Source organism: Homo sapiens, chromosome 1 (genome assembly GCF_000001405.40).
Source record: "Homo sapiens chromosome 1, GRCh38.p14 Primary Assembly".
In the NCBI taxonomy this organism is placed as follows: domain Eukaryota; kingdom Metazoa; phylum Chordata; class Mammalia; order Primates; family Hominidae; genus Homo; species Homo sapiens.
In genome coordinates this window covers 205,733,599-205,749,956 of record NC_000001.11, presented here as the reverse complement: position 1 = coordinate 205,749,956, position 16,358 = coordinate 205,733,599, and the positions used below count along the sequence as shown (strand labels likewise).

At 41.1% G+C, this 16,358-nt stretch overlaps 1 protein-coding gene across 2 annotated transcripts in view, besides 5 other annotated features; it reads left to right on the top strand.

The window, feature by feature from the left end:
• The window catches only part of NUCKS1 (nuclear casein kinase and cyclin dependent kinase substrate 1), a 37,361-nt gene that overhangs the window by 226 nt on the left and 20,777 nt on the right, over positions 1 to 16,358 (top strand). The gene's annotated exons all lie outside the window — the stretch shown is intronic.
• Positions 2 to 601: a silencer, noted in NCBI's record as "silent region_1748". NCBI's record gives its function as "represses an Ori minimal core promoter by ATAC-STARR-seq in GM12878 lymphoblastoid cells {active_cell/tissue: GM12878}" and the evidence as "EXISTENCE:reporter gene assay evidence [ECO:0000049][PMID:35858748]".
• Positions 6,611 to 7,213: an enhancer, noted in NCBI's record as "H3K4me1 hESC enhancer chr1:205711872-205712474 (GRCh37/hg19 assembly coordinates)". NCBI's record gives its function as "activates a minimal SCP1, AML or CMV promoter by ChIP-STARR-seq in primed H9 embryonic stem cells {active_cell/tissue: H9 hESC(primed)}" and the evidence as "EXISTENCE:reporter gene assay evidence [ECO:0000049][PMID:30033119]".
• Positions 7,214 to 7,817: an enhancer, noted in NCBI's record as "H3K4me1 hESC enhancer chr1:205711268-205711871 (GRCh37/hg19 assembly coordinates)". NCBI's record gives its function as "activates a minimal SCP1, AML or CMV promoter by ChIP-STARR-seq in primed H9 embryonic stem cells {active_cell/tissue: H9 hESC(primed)}" and the evidence as "EXISTENCE:reporter gene assay evidence [ECO:0000049][PMID:30033119]".
• Positions 8,921 to 9,527: an enhancer, noted in NCBI's record as "H3K27ac-H3K4me1 hESC enhancer chr1:205709558-205710164 (GRCh37/hg19 assembly coordinates)". NCBI's record gives its function as "activates a minimal SCP1, AML or CMV promoter by ChIP-STARR-seq in primed H9 embryonic stem cells {active_cell/tissue: H9 hESC(primed)}" and the evidence as "EXISTENCE:reporter gene assay evidence [ECO:0000049][PMID:30033119]".
• Positions 9,528 to 10,133: an enhancer, noted in NCBI's record as "H3K27ac hESC enhancer chr1:205708952-205709557 (GRCh37/hg19 assembly coordinates)". NCBI's record gives its function as "activates a minimal SCP1, AML or CMV promoter by ChIP-STARR-seq in primed H9 embryonic stem cells {active_cell/tissue: H9 hESC(primed)}" and the evidence as "EXISTENCE:reporter gene assay evidence [ECO:0000049][PMID:30033119]".

Here is a 16,358-nt window from a genome sequence, read left to right as displayed (position 1 = left end):
GTCAGTGCGGAGTCTGAGGCCTGGAGCGGGTTGGAGGGGGATGGGGGCGAGTGGTGAAAAGAGTGGGGGACAGAAGGCTAGAGTCCGCCATCCCCGGTGCCGCGCGCGGCCTCCTCCCTTTCGGGGCCCGCGCGCACCCTTGAGCGTGGGGGGCCCTGCTGGCGCGCGGGGGTGGTGGCTGCGCGCCCGTGCGCGCGCCCCTCCCCGCCCCGCGCCGCTGCAGGGCTCCGGTCTGCTCAGCTGCCTCCCCCACCCACCGCACTAGAGCGGGCGGGGTGTCCCTGAGCCGCCAGCGGCCGGAGGGGGAGGGGTGTGAAGTCAGCGCCCCCAAGAGGCCCCACCTCCTCGGGGCCGTCCCCTTGGAGCCAGCGCGGGGAGGCGGGCGGACTCGAGCTCCACTCCCCACCTTCAGCGAGGAGGGGCGGAGGCACCCGTATTGCCCCTTCCCCCAGCGACTGGCGCGGGGGTGGGGGCCCTGAGCCCTCTCTGTAGCGGACGGGGGTGTTCCTGGCAAAGGGGGAGGGGCAGCACTGCCAACCGGCCCCGCCTCTGTCCTTCGGGGTCGCTGCAGGCCCCGCCTCCCGGATCGGGCCGAGCGTGGGCGGGACCCGTTTTTTTCCCCCCGGGCAAAAGTGAGAGTTCGGGACTGGATCCTGGAAAATAATGGGCTGCTGCCTCTCTCCCCACCTCAGAGTTTTGAGAGAGTTAACCCCAAAGTTCGCTCTTTCTCTCCGACTAGAAATGTCCTTCCTCGGGGAAATGTCCGTACTCAGGGAGGTGCGGGTTAACAGCACGGCCCAAATCCCGTGTGGTTCTCGTTCCACTCTCACCCGCGTACGCGTCTCGGGATATTTTTGTAACCCTCTTGTCCCCGAGTGACTTTAGTAATAAAAGGGCTAGGTTCGGGTAACCATCAGACTTCATTCTCGGAATTTCAACAAGTTTGCTATTCCCCCAGCTGTCGGTGGAATCGTCCTATGCCATTCTCCAGGCTATTGTATGGAATGTGCCATTTATGGAGGGGTGTGGTTTAGTCCAATCTGTTGAGGCCTTAAAAAGGAGAGCTGTTGCAAATAAATATTTTTAATGTAAGGAATTGGCTTCTTTGCATAGTGTGTTTTCTAAATAAATAGATAAAGGCTTAGTTTTTAAATGTTTTAACAGTCGTTGCTTCCCCTTCATTCCAAGTTGTGTGGGAAACGGAAGTACCTTTAATTAGAGTTCTAAAGAGAGGTTTGGGACCCTGGCAAGGGTTTTGTTCTACACCGTTCTGTCTCCAGACTAGATCATCCTCCAACTGGTGGTGGTATGAGACTGCGTACTCCTACACACGGGGTGGGAATGAGGAGAAAGCTGCTGTTAGCTCTGTTTCAATCAGCATCTGTGGTAACTCACGATCTCTACTCTGAAAGTTATGCTGGCCTTTTGGCAAGGAGTCTGGATAGCTCTTTCAGAGTATAGTTTGCGTAATTTTTTTGGCATAAAACTTGACCAATGTATCCATCAACTCACGTAGAATATTTTCTTTAGGATCAGGTAAAATAATAAAATAAAGATTTATTTTACCTGGATTGGATCTTTTGTCTTCTGGAAGTAATTACTGTGTGGTCAAATTAGGTCAAATTAGGAAAAATAATTCCTCTACCTTTTAAATTTTAGTTCACTAAGTTTTGATGACTTTATTTTATTGTGGTGACGTTCTTATCTCATCTGCCTGAATTTGTTTTCCCAGATTTAGGTATTGGAACATGAACAGAACATTTTTACTGGAAAACTTGGATTTTTTATGTTACCATGTGGGGATATATATATTAAGCACATTCTATCAGTTTTTTGGAGGCATTGGGACTTCTGCACAACTTTTTTATTACTCAGTATGTTGTTTAAACTAATTTTGACCTTGTTTATTTCCCCTAATTGAAGAGTGAAGTTAATATGTTGTGGGCTGTTTTTTTTTTTCTTTGCCATTTTCAAATTATTAATTTCAGAGCAAGTTGGTTACGGAGTATATTTTAGTCATAAATTCTTTGTAATTATTTTTTAAAAGAAGTCTTTATTCATGACCAATAATAAAGCAGAAATAATTAAACTTGAGTTTGGTGGTTTGTTAAATTTTGCAATAAAAAAGTCCTGACTTAGGGAAATGATGTTGTTTCAAAGTATAATTGAAGAATCTATATTCCCTTAGTGCATTTAACATCAACGAAAAAAGTGATAGACATTGACCTGATTTCAGAATCATCAGCCTTGTTTTAAAAACAAAAAAGCACAAGTTGGAAAATATTGTCACTGTGTCGTCTTTTGGGGTATTTCTGCCCTTAGGCCTGTGTATAATTTTGCAGTTTTTCTGGTTCTCATTGTACCATAAATATCCATTTTTATTTTAATATGAACCTAAACATTTTAAGAGCATTTGGAAATGTACCTATGGCACCTTAGCATCAATTTCCAAATGAAGGGTGGTATGGTGGACCTATTGGCTACTGCATGGTTTTGCAAAGACCTGTGTCTAGCACGTTATGTTTAACTTTGTTCATACAAGATTGCTGTCTTTACCCTTTGCAGTGGCCGACTGTTAAATGAGAGCTCAAATATTTTAGGCCTTGGATTCAAATTAATAGCTTAAAATTAGCCTTGGAGCTAGGAAGAGGTTTAGGCAAACTCACTTTATTAAACCTAGTTTAATGGGGACCTGGATAAGTGAGGTGCCTTGCATCACGAACTAGCAGGTGCAAATGTTGGGCTGAGAACCTAGATTTCCCAATTCCCAATTCCCAATTCTGGTCCCCACCCGCATGATCGCTGTACCTTCTGCCCGATCAATATTAATGTTATTAGTGCTGATTAAAGAACATAGTATGTAACATTTTTAACTTTTTTAAGTGCTTTCATGAGTCAACTTTGTGAGGAAGGAAGGAAAATGCCATTACTTGTAAGAGGTGAGAAAGAAAGCTCAGATTTACTGACTTGCCCAAACTAGAAACCAGATTTCTTGAAATTCAGCTGTTACACTCTCCAGAGATCCTCCTCCCTTATTGAAAGTGATCCAGGTTGCTCAAACCAATCTTTTTGCTTCTCCTTGTAACCTAAGTGTGCTTGATACCTTTTGTTTAACACTTGAGATTGTAAGGAACCTTACCATTGAAAATTTAGATGTGAAAACATAAGCTCTTACAAGTTGTTATAGAATTTATTTTATTGTTTGTCATGTTTATAAGTAGTGTTGAGAATTAACGGCTTTCCCAGGATTCCAGTTTGCTTTCTTTTCAAAGAGAATTGTTTGGGCCATGCCTGGATTCTAAAAATATTCTCTCCCCCAAAACAATTGGTTTCAAGAAGTCCTCAGCTAAAGAGAAAAACTAGAAACTTGAAAATTCAAGGTAGTTCAAAATGTGTTACCAAATGTGCACATGAAGACACAAGTTTAATATGGTTGTAGATGAGACTGGCTCATTCTCTTATTCTCTAGTGTGTGTGTGTGTGTGTGTGTGTGTGTGTGTGTGAGAGAGAGAGAGAGAGAAGTGAGTTTATTAACCTTGGATCTATACTTTTTAAAATTACCTGTCAGTTTCCTCTAAAAAGACATAATTCCTTCAAAGACATGCCATCAAAGATACATAATTTACAATGCCTGAATAATGGGGGAGTTATTTATTTATTTGAGATGGGATTTCCCTCTTGTTGCCCAGGCGGGAGTGCAATGGTGCAATCTCGGCTCATTGCAACCTCCACCTCCCGGGTTCAAGTGATTCTCCTGCCTCAGCCTCAGAGTAGCTGGAATTACAGGTGCCCACTACCACACCCAGCTAACTTTTGTATTTTTAGTAGGGACAGGGTTTCACCATGTTGGCCAGGCTGGTCTCGAACTCTTGACCTCAGGCGATCCACCCACTTCAGCCTCCCAAAGTGCTGGGATTACAGGCGTGAACTACCGCGCCCGGCCGGAAAGTTACTTTTATAAGAAAAGTATTCACTTTTGCTCAACATACATGTAATTAATTACCTGAAAATTACAGTGTTTAAAATTTTCATTTTAAATGTTTAAAATGTTTTCATTTTCAACAAACATTGAGAAAAAATGCAGTCAGGAACTGTGCTAGAGGTTTTCACTTTGTTTTATCCTTATTACAACCCTGTAACAAGTATTTTTCTTTATCACCATGTAACATGACAAAACAAGCTTAAAGAATATGTTACAGTTACAGAGCTATGATAGCAGAGCTAAGGTTTGAGCTCAGATCTGAATACAAAACTAGCATTTTTTTTCCATGGTACTAATCTTTCTTGCCTAGTATTCAGTGTGAAGATGGTCAGGTTTTTTTTAATATCTCCTCAATGGTGAATACATTCCATACACATTGATTTTTAGCTGTTTAAAACATTTTAGGAAAAACAGCCAAAATGTTTAACTTAGCGTTTTTGCTCAACTCAATATTTAAAATAATTTTCAGAGATACTTTTTTTTTTTGGAGACAGGATCTCACTGTCACCCAGGCGGGAGTGCACTGGTGCGATCACAGGCTCACTGCATCCTCAACCTTTCAGGCTCAGGTGATCCTCCCACCTCAGCCTTTCAGGTAGCTGGGACTATAGGTGTGGCCCACCACGCCTGGCTAATTTTTTGTAGACAGGGTTTCACCATGTTGCTCAGGCTGAGAGAGATAGTTAAAAGTACTAAATTAAAAAAATAAGCTAGAAAGAACTTAAGTCCCGTTCCTTCAGTTTACCAGTGATGACTTTGAACCCAAGGAGTTAGTGTAGAGATAATATCAAGGCTGGATTTAGACTGCATAAATCTTAGTCATTCTCCTTTTTACTATTTGTATATACAGTATTTGATTTTACAGAGAGTGTATTAGAAGTCCACATTCCTAGTTTGAAACCATTGGGGCCATATGTGGTTTAAAATTTTTGAAAAATGTGGAATTCCCAAAAGGTAACAGGATGCATGTACTGTATAGTAATGTACCATCACTAGTTTAGGGTAGTACTCCTGTAAACAATCACATTAATATCTCTCGTGAGGGCCAGGCGCGGTGGCTCATGCCTGTAATCCCAGCACTTTGGGAGGCTGAGGCGGGCAGATCACCTAAGGTCGGGAGTTCGAGACCAGCCTGACCAACATGGAGAAACCCCGTCTCTACTGAAAATACAAAATTAGCCAGGCGTGGTGGCGCATGCCTATAATCTCAGCTACTTAGGAGGCTGAGGCAGGAGAATCGCTTGAACCCAGGAGGCGGAGGTTGCAGTGAGCCGAGACCACGCCATTGCACTGGAGCCTGGGCAACAAGGGCGAAACTCCGTCTCAAAAAAAAAAAAAAAAAAACTCTAGTGAACTTAGGAATTTTCACACTGAGATATGAAAGGCCTCACATTTAGGTCATCATATTTTGCCACCATGTAAGTTATGAAAATACTTAATTTTCAGAACTTTTTGGATTTCTAAATTGTGGGTTGGTGGATTGAGGACATTTAACAGCATGAGCTGAAAAAAAATCACTTCCTCACTTAGTAGAATTAGCAATTACTGAGCAACTCTTAGATGCCAAATAATTCCACCAGGTACTTTATACATATTTCAAAATCATGCACAACTCTTAAAGGCATATGTTATCCTCATTTCATATGTTAGGCCTGAGGTTAGGATAAAAAAAGTAACTACACAGTTCACCTAACTATTAAGAGATGAAGCAGGAATTTGTATCCCACTGTGAACAACCCAAAGCCAGTTCGTGATCTTTTCAATGTGACATTGTCACAGGGTACACTTTGTCACGGTGTTAGCACATTTTGTCTTCTTTGGAGCAAGTTACAGTTCATAATAGAACTTTTGTTGTGGGGAGGCCTAATTTTCTAGGGAGGAAGAGGAGAAAATGTGAAGAGATTAAGGGGAGATACACCTGACAGGAGGAAAAACCAGTGGAGTATTTAGTGTGAACCTTTGCCGAGAAAAAGGTGGCATTGTTTTAAGTTTATACGTTTCAAAATATGAGGGCGTTTCCCCTTAACTAGGTGATTCCAAAGCCACCTAAAGGACAAAAAGGGAATGAGGGGCTCATTTTACATAAAAATATGGATGCAAAAATGCTAAACAGACAATTAGCTAACTGAAACCAATGAGTACACTAACTCACTGTCATCAGTAGGCTCTTGGAAACTTCTAACTTTAAGCAACATGATATACAGTAAACAGGTTTTTTAATAATGTTGTGTTACAAGGTCGATGAGAAAGGTCTACTGCAACATTTCACTTAAGGCTCCACTTTCCAAGAGCCTATCAGTGACGTTAAGTGAGAACTGTATTAAAAATATATGTGATCAAGTAGGGTTTGTCCCAAGAACAAAACAATCTTTCTGTGAGTCAATGTATTAAAAGACTAAAGGAAAAACCATTGCATTTGAAAAAGGTTTAACGCCTATTGTAAAACTTAATGCATTAAAATTAGAAGGAAATGATTAACTTGACTGAGGTTACAAATAGGTTAAGTGGTTGAGTTTTTAGTGTTTTAAGTCGATTAGTGATTAATTATTGGGGAGAGATAATCCTGGCACAACAAAAGAAGCCCTGGGTATCAGGAAACGGATTTCAGCCTCTTCTGGGTTTATATAGTGGAGATGTTGAACTCCATTGGAGTAATAGTATCTTGCAGTCACAAAGCATTTTACAATTTTCAAAACTTTTTCTCACTGGCTTCCTCCAGCCCAAAAAACACCGTTAGTTAAGAAAGAAAGCTAATTTTGAATAAAAGTTTTTGGTTTTTGGGGTTTTTTTGGCCTGTTTTTTCCCAAAAATGTAACAGTCACCATACTGTGTAACGCTGGGATACTGCGCCTACGCATTCTACATGAAGGTTGTCCCTCTAGAGTTGTATGACTTACAGTCTGCATGGCCAAATGGGTTACTTTGCAAACTTTGAACTTAAAAAGTATTGAGCATGCTGAAAAGTGTTAAATTTGCATTTTAAAAACAATTCCTAGCTGTAAAAGGAATGTGACCGTATTACTCTAAATTCAGAAGTAGCTTTTTGGATTGTTGAGACTGGAGACTGCACCTAGGAGACTCACATGTTGTGGACAATAGGAGGAAACCTTTTATTTATTTGTTTGTTTATTTATTTATTTTTTTTTCTTTGAGACCGAGTCTCGCTCTGTCCTCCAGGCTGGAATGCAGTGGAGCGATCTCGGCTCACTGCAAGCTCCGCCTCCCGGGTTCACGCCATTCTCCCGCCTCAGCCTCGCGAGTAGCTGGGACTACAGGCGCCCGCCACCACGCCCGGCTAATTTTTTAGTATTTTTAGTAGAGACGGGGTTTCACCGTGTTGGCCAGGATGGTCTCGATCCCCTGACCTTGTGATCCGCCCACCTCGGCCTCCCAAAGTGCTGGGATTACAGGCGTGAGCCACAGCGTCCGGCCCCAGGAGGAAACCTTTTATTTTTTAGCACAAGACCACTTCGGTCAAACTGGGCGCCCCTTTATTTTGTTGGGAAAAAATTATTGCTGTCTAGATTCTAGGAAGTGAAACTAATCGTTATACAGTTATATTGCCATGTTTTAAAATAACTACTATTTAAATGGTCTTAATTGTAGGTCTTTGAAACACTTTAGATGAAGAGATCACAGGCTGCTTAAGAGTGTTTCAACTAGGTATTGCAGTTTTCAGGTGCTTCTTAGGTGTTACTATTATTTGAATTGTGTATCTGTTCAGTTCTGTGCTAAGCAAGGCGATCTTCAGGGAGATTTCCCTTCCAGCTACCTTTGGTTGGAGTGTTCTAGGTCACAATAAAATGACTTAGAAAATGAACTACTCAAGAAACTAAATATTAGCTCCACTGAAAGAGTAAAAGTCGGTGCTGCTATCTCTTACACTGGGATAACATACAGCTGCTTGTCTTCCAAGGACTTGCTGCAGCTCTAGAGATTCTTAACAACCCCTCTTCCTTGAGTGACTACTGCTCTCTTACAGAGAAACTTGGTTCTATAAAATCAGAGACTATCAGAAACTTTACTGTTTGGAATTCTCTGAGTAAAAATGAACGTCACACTTTTGTCAGGAAGATCTAAGTCATTTTGACACAGAGAACTAGCTTTGATTTACAACTTCAGAGCTTTGGATAAGGGGTTGTTAAACACAAAACTCTGCATCTACCCTAACTTCTTTCCCAGGAAATAGGACCCTAGTTCCACTCTGCAGTCCAGACCTGATATTGATCCCTTTAACACAGTTCTGTGCTTATAGTCTATCAAGATACTGCTTCATTTATCTTAGTTCTACCCTTCTCCAAAATTCTGTAATTTTTTCTGTTACATGAGATGCTTCACACTTCTCTGATGTGCTTGTCCTTCATTGTATTCAGTCAATAAACCTAAATTTGTCAGGCTACAGGTTTGTCCCTAGCGATTGAGTTACACAGTTTGGAAGACACCACCGAGGTTTCCAAGACCATGGGACTCTACTCAGTAATTTCGCATCTGAGACCCCTTCAGTCTCACACATTAGAGGTTTCTCTGTCCCCAGTTGCATAGGTTTTACACTAAACTTCCACTGGGAAAAATCTAACCTAGCTGACTTTATTTATCAAATACTTTATCTTATGCTCATTGAAATTTGTATGTGACTTTTTCTTTCTTTTCTTTTCTTTTTTTTTTTTTTTTTTTTTTGAGACAGTCTCGCTCTGTCGCCCAGGCTGGAGTGCAGTGGCGCGATCTCGGCTCACTGCAAGCTCCGCCTCCCGGGTTCACGCCATTCTCCTGCCTCAGCCTCCCGAGTAGCTGGGACTACAGGCGCCCGCCACCACGCCCGGCTAATTTTTTGTATTTTTAGTAGAGACGGGCTTTCACCGTGTTAGCCAGGATGGTCTGCATCTCCTGACCTCAAGTGATCCGCCCGCCTCGGCCTCCTGAGGCGGGATTACAGGCGTGAGCCACCGCGCCCGGCCGTGTGTGACTTTAAAAGAAAACATTTTCCTATATGGTGAAACTGAACATGGTAAGTTGTGAAATAAAGTAACTTGAGTCCTGGGAATAAGGAGTGCCTTATAAGAGTTAATACTTGTTCATGGGGCTAAACCATTAACAAGTTGGTAATATATTGGTTTTATATATATATACATACTAAGTATATATATATATATATACTTAGTAGGAGATTGTGATCTAGTAAATGTGTCTGGCTCAGTCATTCAGAACACCTTTACCCACCTCCGTTTTCTGCAGAAATTAGAAACATCTGATTTGAAAAAATTAGGAGCTCTTTTCTATAATGCTATTGGGGATTTTGGTTTTATTTTTGCTTTCTCATATCTTGTGGCTTTGTTGTGAATTTTATATTTATTTTATTTATTTTTTTGAGATGGGGTCTCAATCTGTCGCTCAGGCTAGAGTGCAGTGGCCTGATCTCATTGCAACATCAGCCTCCTGGGCTCAAGCGATCCTCCCACCTCAGTCTCCCAAGTATCTGAGACTACAGGCGTGCGCCACCACACCTGGCTAATTTTTTTTAGAAGAGACAGGTTATTGCTGTGTGGTTCAGGCTGGTCTTGAACTCCTGGGACTCAAGCAATCCTGCCATCTCTGCCTCCCAGAGTGCTGGGATTACAGGCGTGAGCTACCACAACCAGAGGGAATTTGATATTTTAAATTGTAAATAGGATGGGCCAGGTGTGGTGGTTTACGCCTATAATCCCAGCACTTTGGGAGGCCGAGGTGGGTGGATTGCTTGAGTCCTGGAGTTTGAGGGCAGCCTGGCCAACATGGTGAAACCCCTTCTCTACTAAACTTAAAAAAAAATTAGCCAGCTGTGGTGGTGCACAACTGTAATCCCAGCTACTGGGGTGGCTGAGGCAGGAGAATCGCTGGAACCTGGGAGGCAGAGGTTGTAGTGAGCCATCATCATGCCACTGTACTCCAGTCTGGACAACAGAGGGAGACACTGTCTCTCAAAAAAAAAAAAAAAAAAAAACCTAAAGTAAATAGCAGGATGATGTAAAATACAGTGAAAACAATGTATTTTAGGCAAAAGGAACTTGAAGGTCAAGATAAATGAAGCTACTGTAAGAAATTACCTGGAGTTGGCCACACAGTGGCTCACACCTATAATCCCAACACTTTGGGAGGCCGAGGAGGGCAGATCGCTTGAGTCAAGGAATTTGAGACCAGCCTGAGCAATAGGGAGACCTCATCTCTACAAAAAATAAACAAAATCAGCCAGACATGGTGTTGCACAACTGTAGTCCCAGCTACTTAAGAGGCTGAGGCAGAAGATTGCTTGAGCTCAGGAGTTTGAGACTAACCTGGGCAATATGCTGAAACCCCATCTTTACAAAAAAATTAGCCAGTGCCTGTAGTCCCAGCTACTGGGGTAGGGGCTGAGGTGGGAAGATCGCTTGAGCCCAGGAGGTCCACATTGCTGTTAGGTGTCATTGTGCCATGGCACTCCAGCCTGGGCAGCAGAGTGAGACCCCGTCTCAAAAAAAGAAAAAAAAAAATTTGAGTTGTGTTCAGGCATTCTGCCCTCAATATTTTTTTATGTTGAGAAAATCTTGCATGTGAGATTTCTTAATCATCTTTGAGGCAGGAAGAGTGGAAAGAGGTAAATCTTCCAAATTTTAAAGGGAAAGCAGCAGTACTTGGTGTGCAGCAACTTTAATTGCATCAGTTCTTTGGAAGAGTTAGATTTGTAAAGACTTAGGAAAGGAAGGTTTGAGAAGCTGCATCAACAGTAGCATGTGTGGATTATAGGTTTGGAAGGACTTGGGTTGGAAAATGGTTTTTACCACTTAATGGCTTGCAATAAAGTTACTTGGCCTTTTGAGCATAGTTTCCTCAGTTAATTAGCTCCTCTTGTGACATTAGGGTGAGAATTAAATGAGAATTTAGGCAAAGTAACTAGAACATATCAAATATCTGAAGTAACTGCTGTTATAATTATTACTAAAAGTCGCCGTGGATTCACACACAAAAAATGTCATATAGGTCAGGAGTCTTCATAATGTTTGCTTTTGGAGGTGTCTTAAACATTTGATTTAAATTTTATGTAGTTATTCATTTGAGACAGGTTCTCCCTCTCTCACCCAGGCCAGAGTGCAGTGTGGTGATCTCGACTCGCACTGCAACCTCCGCCTCCCAGGCTCAAGCTATTCTCCCACCTCAGCCCCTGGAGTGGCTGGGACTTCACAGGTGCATGCCACCACACCCAGCTAATTTATTTTTATTTATTTATTTTTGTAGAGATGGAATTTCTCCATGATGCCTAGGCTGATCTTGAATTTATGGGCTGAAGCCATCCGCCCACCTCGGCCTCCCACAGTGCTGGGATTACAGGTGTGGGCCACCACACCTGGCTCAAATTTTAGTATATGTGCTGCCAAAGCGAGCATGCCTGTCTCAAATTTTTAAGTATAATTTTGGGCCAGTCGTAGTGATTCCTGCCTGTAATCTCAGCATGGTGGGAGGATTGCATGAGCCCAGGAGTTGGAGACCAGCCTGGGCAACCTGTCTACAAAAAAAAAAAAAAAAATTAGCTGGGCATGGTAGTGTCCACCTCTAGTCCTGGGTACTCTGGAGGCTACAGTGAGCCACTGCAGTCCAGCCTGGGTGACAGAGTAAAAACCTGTCTTTTAAAAATAAATAGGCTGGGCATGGTGGCTCATGCCTGTAATCCTAGCACGTTGGGAGGCCAAGGCGGGCAGATCACTTGAGGTCAGCGGTTTGAAACCAGCCTGGCCAACATGATGGAACCCTGTCTCTACTAAAAATACAAAAAAAGTAGCCGGGCATGGTGGTGGATACCTGTAATCTCAGCTATTGGGGAGGCTGAGGCAGGAGAATTGCTTGAACCCGGGAGGTAGAGGTTGCAGTGAGCCGAGATCACGCCACTGCACTCCAGCCTGGGAAACAAAGCGAGACTCCGTCTCAAAAAATAAATAAAAGATAAAAATAGATAAATATAATTTTGGAGGTAAAGTTTAGCAGTTTTCTTTAATGTGGAACTTTCAAAGCTTTTCACATTAAAATTCATTTTGAATGTTTATTGGGGTGGTAATACTGATAATATCCAACTGATAATTACCAGTAAATCTTTAGAAAACCTATTTTGACAACACAGGTTGGACAATTCTGTAATGAGATAATTTTTAAAATACGATACTATAAGACAAATGTATACTTTTAAAATACTTTTGATTAGCTGTGTTTAATTTTATGATTCCTGGGAAGATTTTATTTGAACAAAAAGTGTTTACTGCTAAAAAGTTTAACTGTCACTGATTTAAATGAACTAATTTCCTTTTTTAAAAATTTATTAGAGCAAAAGAATTCTGTGAAAATACCGAGGTTTTATTTCAACAAGGATTTTGACAGCTTCACATAGGTCCTTGTAAGATGGAGAAATACAGGCAGAATGATAGCTCAGTGTGAGGGACTTTGCCTGAGCAGCCTTACCCGGAGAGGGCTGACAAATAAATAGATTGTTACCCTGGAAGACTGTTTGCACTGTTGCCTGAAAGGATTCTGTTCTTGGCATATCTTCTAATTAATGATATAGATGAGGACACTGATGGTGTGCTGATTAAATTTGCAGATGTTAAGAAGTTGGGGAAGATAAATAATATGCTGAAATGGCAGGATCAGGATACCAAACGGTCTTAGATTATGGAAAAGGAGGTTTTAGTCATTGGAATTACAATATATAGTCCACTGAATGATGGAACAGTCCAAAAGGGAACTGAAATCTTGGATTGCATTGAAGTATAGAGTAGAATAGGAAGAGGAGGGTCATAATCCTGATTTGCTCCCCATTCCCCATCTTTTTATAATCATATTATGTTTCATCCTGGGTGCTGCTTTAGTATTTACTAAATCCAAGGTGGTATGGAGGAAAGCAGCTAGAGCATGAAGCGAGTACTTGAAATATGAGGAAGTGTTAAAAAGGAGCCCTAGTATTTAGCTTCAGAGAAAAAGTGGGAATAGTCATATAAATTTAAGGAATGCTCTGAAGAGGAGGGGTTAGATTTAGACCATGCTAATCCCAGGAGGTGGAACTAGATAGAACCAGTGAGTGGACACTAGAGGCAGATTCATCTCCTTGTAAAGAACTATTTAATTATTGGAATTTTTTTTTTTTTTTTTTAGAAGGAGTTTTGCTCTGTCACCCAGGCTGGAGTGCAGTGGCGTGATCTCGGCTCACTGCAAACTCCGTTCCCCGGGTTCAAGCTATTCTCCTGCCTCAACCTCCCAAGTACCTGGGATTACAGGCGCCTACAACCACGCCGGGCTAATTTTTTATTTTTTATTTTTTAGTAGAGATGGAGTTTTGCCATGTTGGCCAGGCTGGTCTTGAACTCCTGACCTCAGGTGATCCACTGCCTCGGCCTCTCAAAGTGCTGGGATTACAGGGGTGAGCCACCACACCTGGCAATTACTGGAATTTTCTTAGCATAGGCTGCCTTGGAGATCATGAGAAGTTCTCAGTCATTCTCTTCTAGGGATATTTGTTAACAGGATACAAGCTAAAGGTTGAATTAGATTGTCTAGGGTCCAGTAGCTCTACTACATATAATACTCTCAGCACCACCATATCTCCCACCCCCACGACCATCAGACTTTGATAGGTTTTATGAATGCTTTAAACTTAAAAAATGATTTAAAAATTTTTGATCTAAATGGTAACCTGAACTTTGCCATAAAGTCAGAAATAAAAATAGGGAGGGCTGGATGTGGTGGCTCATGCTTGTAATCCTAGCACTTTGAGAGGCCGAGAAGGGAGGATCACTTGAGGCCAGGAGTTCAAAACCAGCCTGGGAAACAGCAAGACTTGGTCTCTACAAAAAAAAATTTTTAATTTACTGGCTGTTGTGACACACACCTGTAATCTCAACTCCCCAGGAGGCTGAGTTGGGAGAATTGCTTGAGTCCAGGAGTTTGAGGCTATAGTGAGCTATGGTCACACCACTGCACTTCATGCACTCCAACCTGGATGACAGAGCAGACCCTGTCTCCAAAAAAAAAAAAGAGATATTTTGGTATTACATTTTAGTGAGATGAACAAGAAAACAAAGACAATCTTTCTGAATGATACTAGAACCAATACTTTTAAGACTTACATATTTTTCAACAAAGTGACTTAATCATCATATCCAAATAAGAGTTAGTTATGTGTTCAAAATTACAGTGGTATTCTGGGTGGAACAAGTTAATACTTATAAGTAATAATAGCTGTTATTGATATTTATATACCTTGCACAAATGTTCTGAAATGTTCTCAACACTCTTGTTATTCCTGTAACAGGTATTGTTATTCCTGTTTTACAGATGATGAGACTGAAGTTCAGTCAGGGGAAGTAACTTGCTTGAGGATATACAACTAGTAAGAGTCAGGACGTAAATTCAAGAATCTGTGTTTTTAACCTCTCTGCTATATTGAAATTTTATGCTGTCCTCCAGTTCTAGTTATTGATACTCATTTTACATTGAAGAGTTAGTTTAGCTTTGGCATTTAACTATCATGTGTCACATAGCACCAGGGATACATTCTGAGAACTGCATTTTTAGGTGATTTGCATGTATTTCCACAAAACCAGATGGTGTAGTCTCCTGCACACCTAGGCTGTATGGTATAGCCTATTGCTCCTAGACTACAAACATGTATAGCATGTTACTGTACTGAATACTGTAAGCAATTGTAACACAATGGTAGGTATTTATATATCTAAACATAGAAAAAGTACAGTAAAAATATGCTATAATAATCTTGTGAGACCATTGTCATGTATGCAGTTCACCATAATGTCATGCAGCACATGATTGTATTTTGAAGAAATTAGAATGTTTCTTTGTTTTCACCTAGAAATAGAACCTCTCATGCCCTGGGACTTAAATGAAATTCTTAAATGCTGGATTTCTGTCCTATCATCTCATTAGGAACAAATTCATCAAAAATGTATTTCAACCCCAGACAAAGCAAGCCTTTAAGTGGTGGAAATAGTATGTTATTTATATTATTTTGAATAAGCATCTTTAGGAGGCAGGACATTGTTTGGGAAATAAACTTTTTTATTTTTTTTTTGAGATGGAGTCTTGCTCTATCACCCAGGCTGGAGTGCAGTGGCACAATCTTGGCCCACTGTAACCTCCACCTTCCGGGTTCAAGCGATTCTTGTGCCTCAGCCTCCCGAGTAGCTGGGATTACAGGTGACCGCCACCACGCCTGGCTAATTTTTTGTATTTTTAGTGGAGATGGGGTTTCACCATGTTGGCCAGGCTGGTCTTGAACTCCTGACTTCAGGTGATCCACCCACCTTGGCCTCCCAAAGTGCTGGGATTACAGGCGTGAGCCACCAAGCCCGGCCTGAACCAAATTATTATGAGTCATTATGAGTCATCATGAATGGCCCTTGTTATCACAGATCTTTTATTTATTTATTTTATCTTTTCCCTCTTTAGCATTTATGGATGACTATATTTGTTTCTGACTGGTTGCCCTTAATAAGGCAGAATTGCTTCTATATTCATATTTTGCTTTACACTGATTTTATGGTATTTGTGATAAATGGCATATGAGATCATTCTGGCTGTTTTCAGATCATTGAAAGTTAAAATACTTCATATTTCAACGGAAGGGATAGTCTTTCAATTTAATTTTAAAATTTAATTGTTTATATAATGCCAATATAGTCTACATGGCATTTCTGTAGTTCTGTTTGTTGAAAAGTAGGATAGAAAAATATGTACTAAATAAAAAGTATCCTTTTTAGTGTCTTAGGTTTAAAGTAACAAGTTACAGGCCAGGCCTGGTGGCTCACACCTGTAATCCCAGCATTTTGGGAGATTAAGGTGAGAGGATTGCTTGAGGCCAGGAGTTTGAGACCAGCATGGGAAACATAGAAAGGCCCCGTCTCTACAAAAAAAAAAAATTGTTTTTAATTAGCCAGGCATGGTGGCTGTGTGCCTTTCTGTAGTTCCACAAGCTAAGGTGGGAGGATCACTTGAGCTCAGGAGTTGGAGACTGCAGTGAGCTATGACTGCCACTGCACTCCAGCCTGGATGACAGAACAAGACCCTGTCTCAATTGTTGGATGGATGGATGGGTGGACGGACAGATGGAAGATAGGTAGGTAGGTCTGTCTAGATAGATACAGATAGATATACAGGGAAGGAGGAGGAGATTAAGTTTTCTTCTGTTGTGGAGGGCAGTTAATTTTTAATGACAAATGCCATGAAAAACAGTATTGTGATCATAATGCAATATGATCATTTGCAGTGACCATTTTCTATATTATATTTTAATATAATGCCTGCCATTTATGTTATTTATTAAATATTTTATTTATTATTTAATTTATTATTTAAACATTTAATTTTA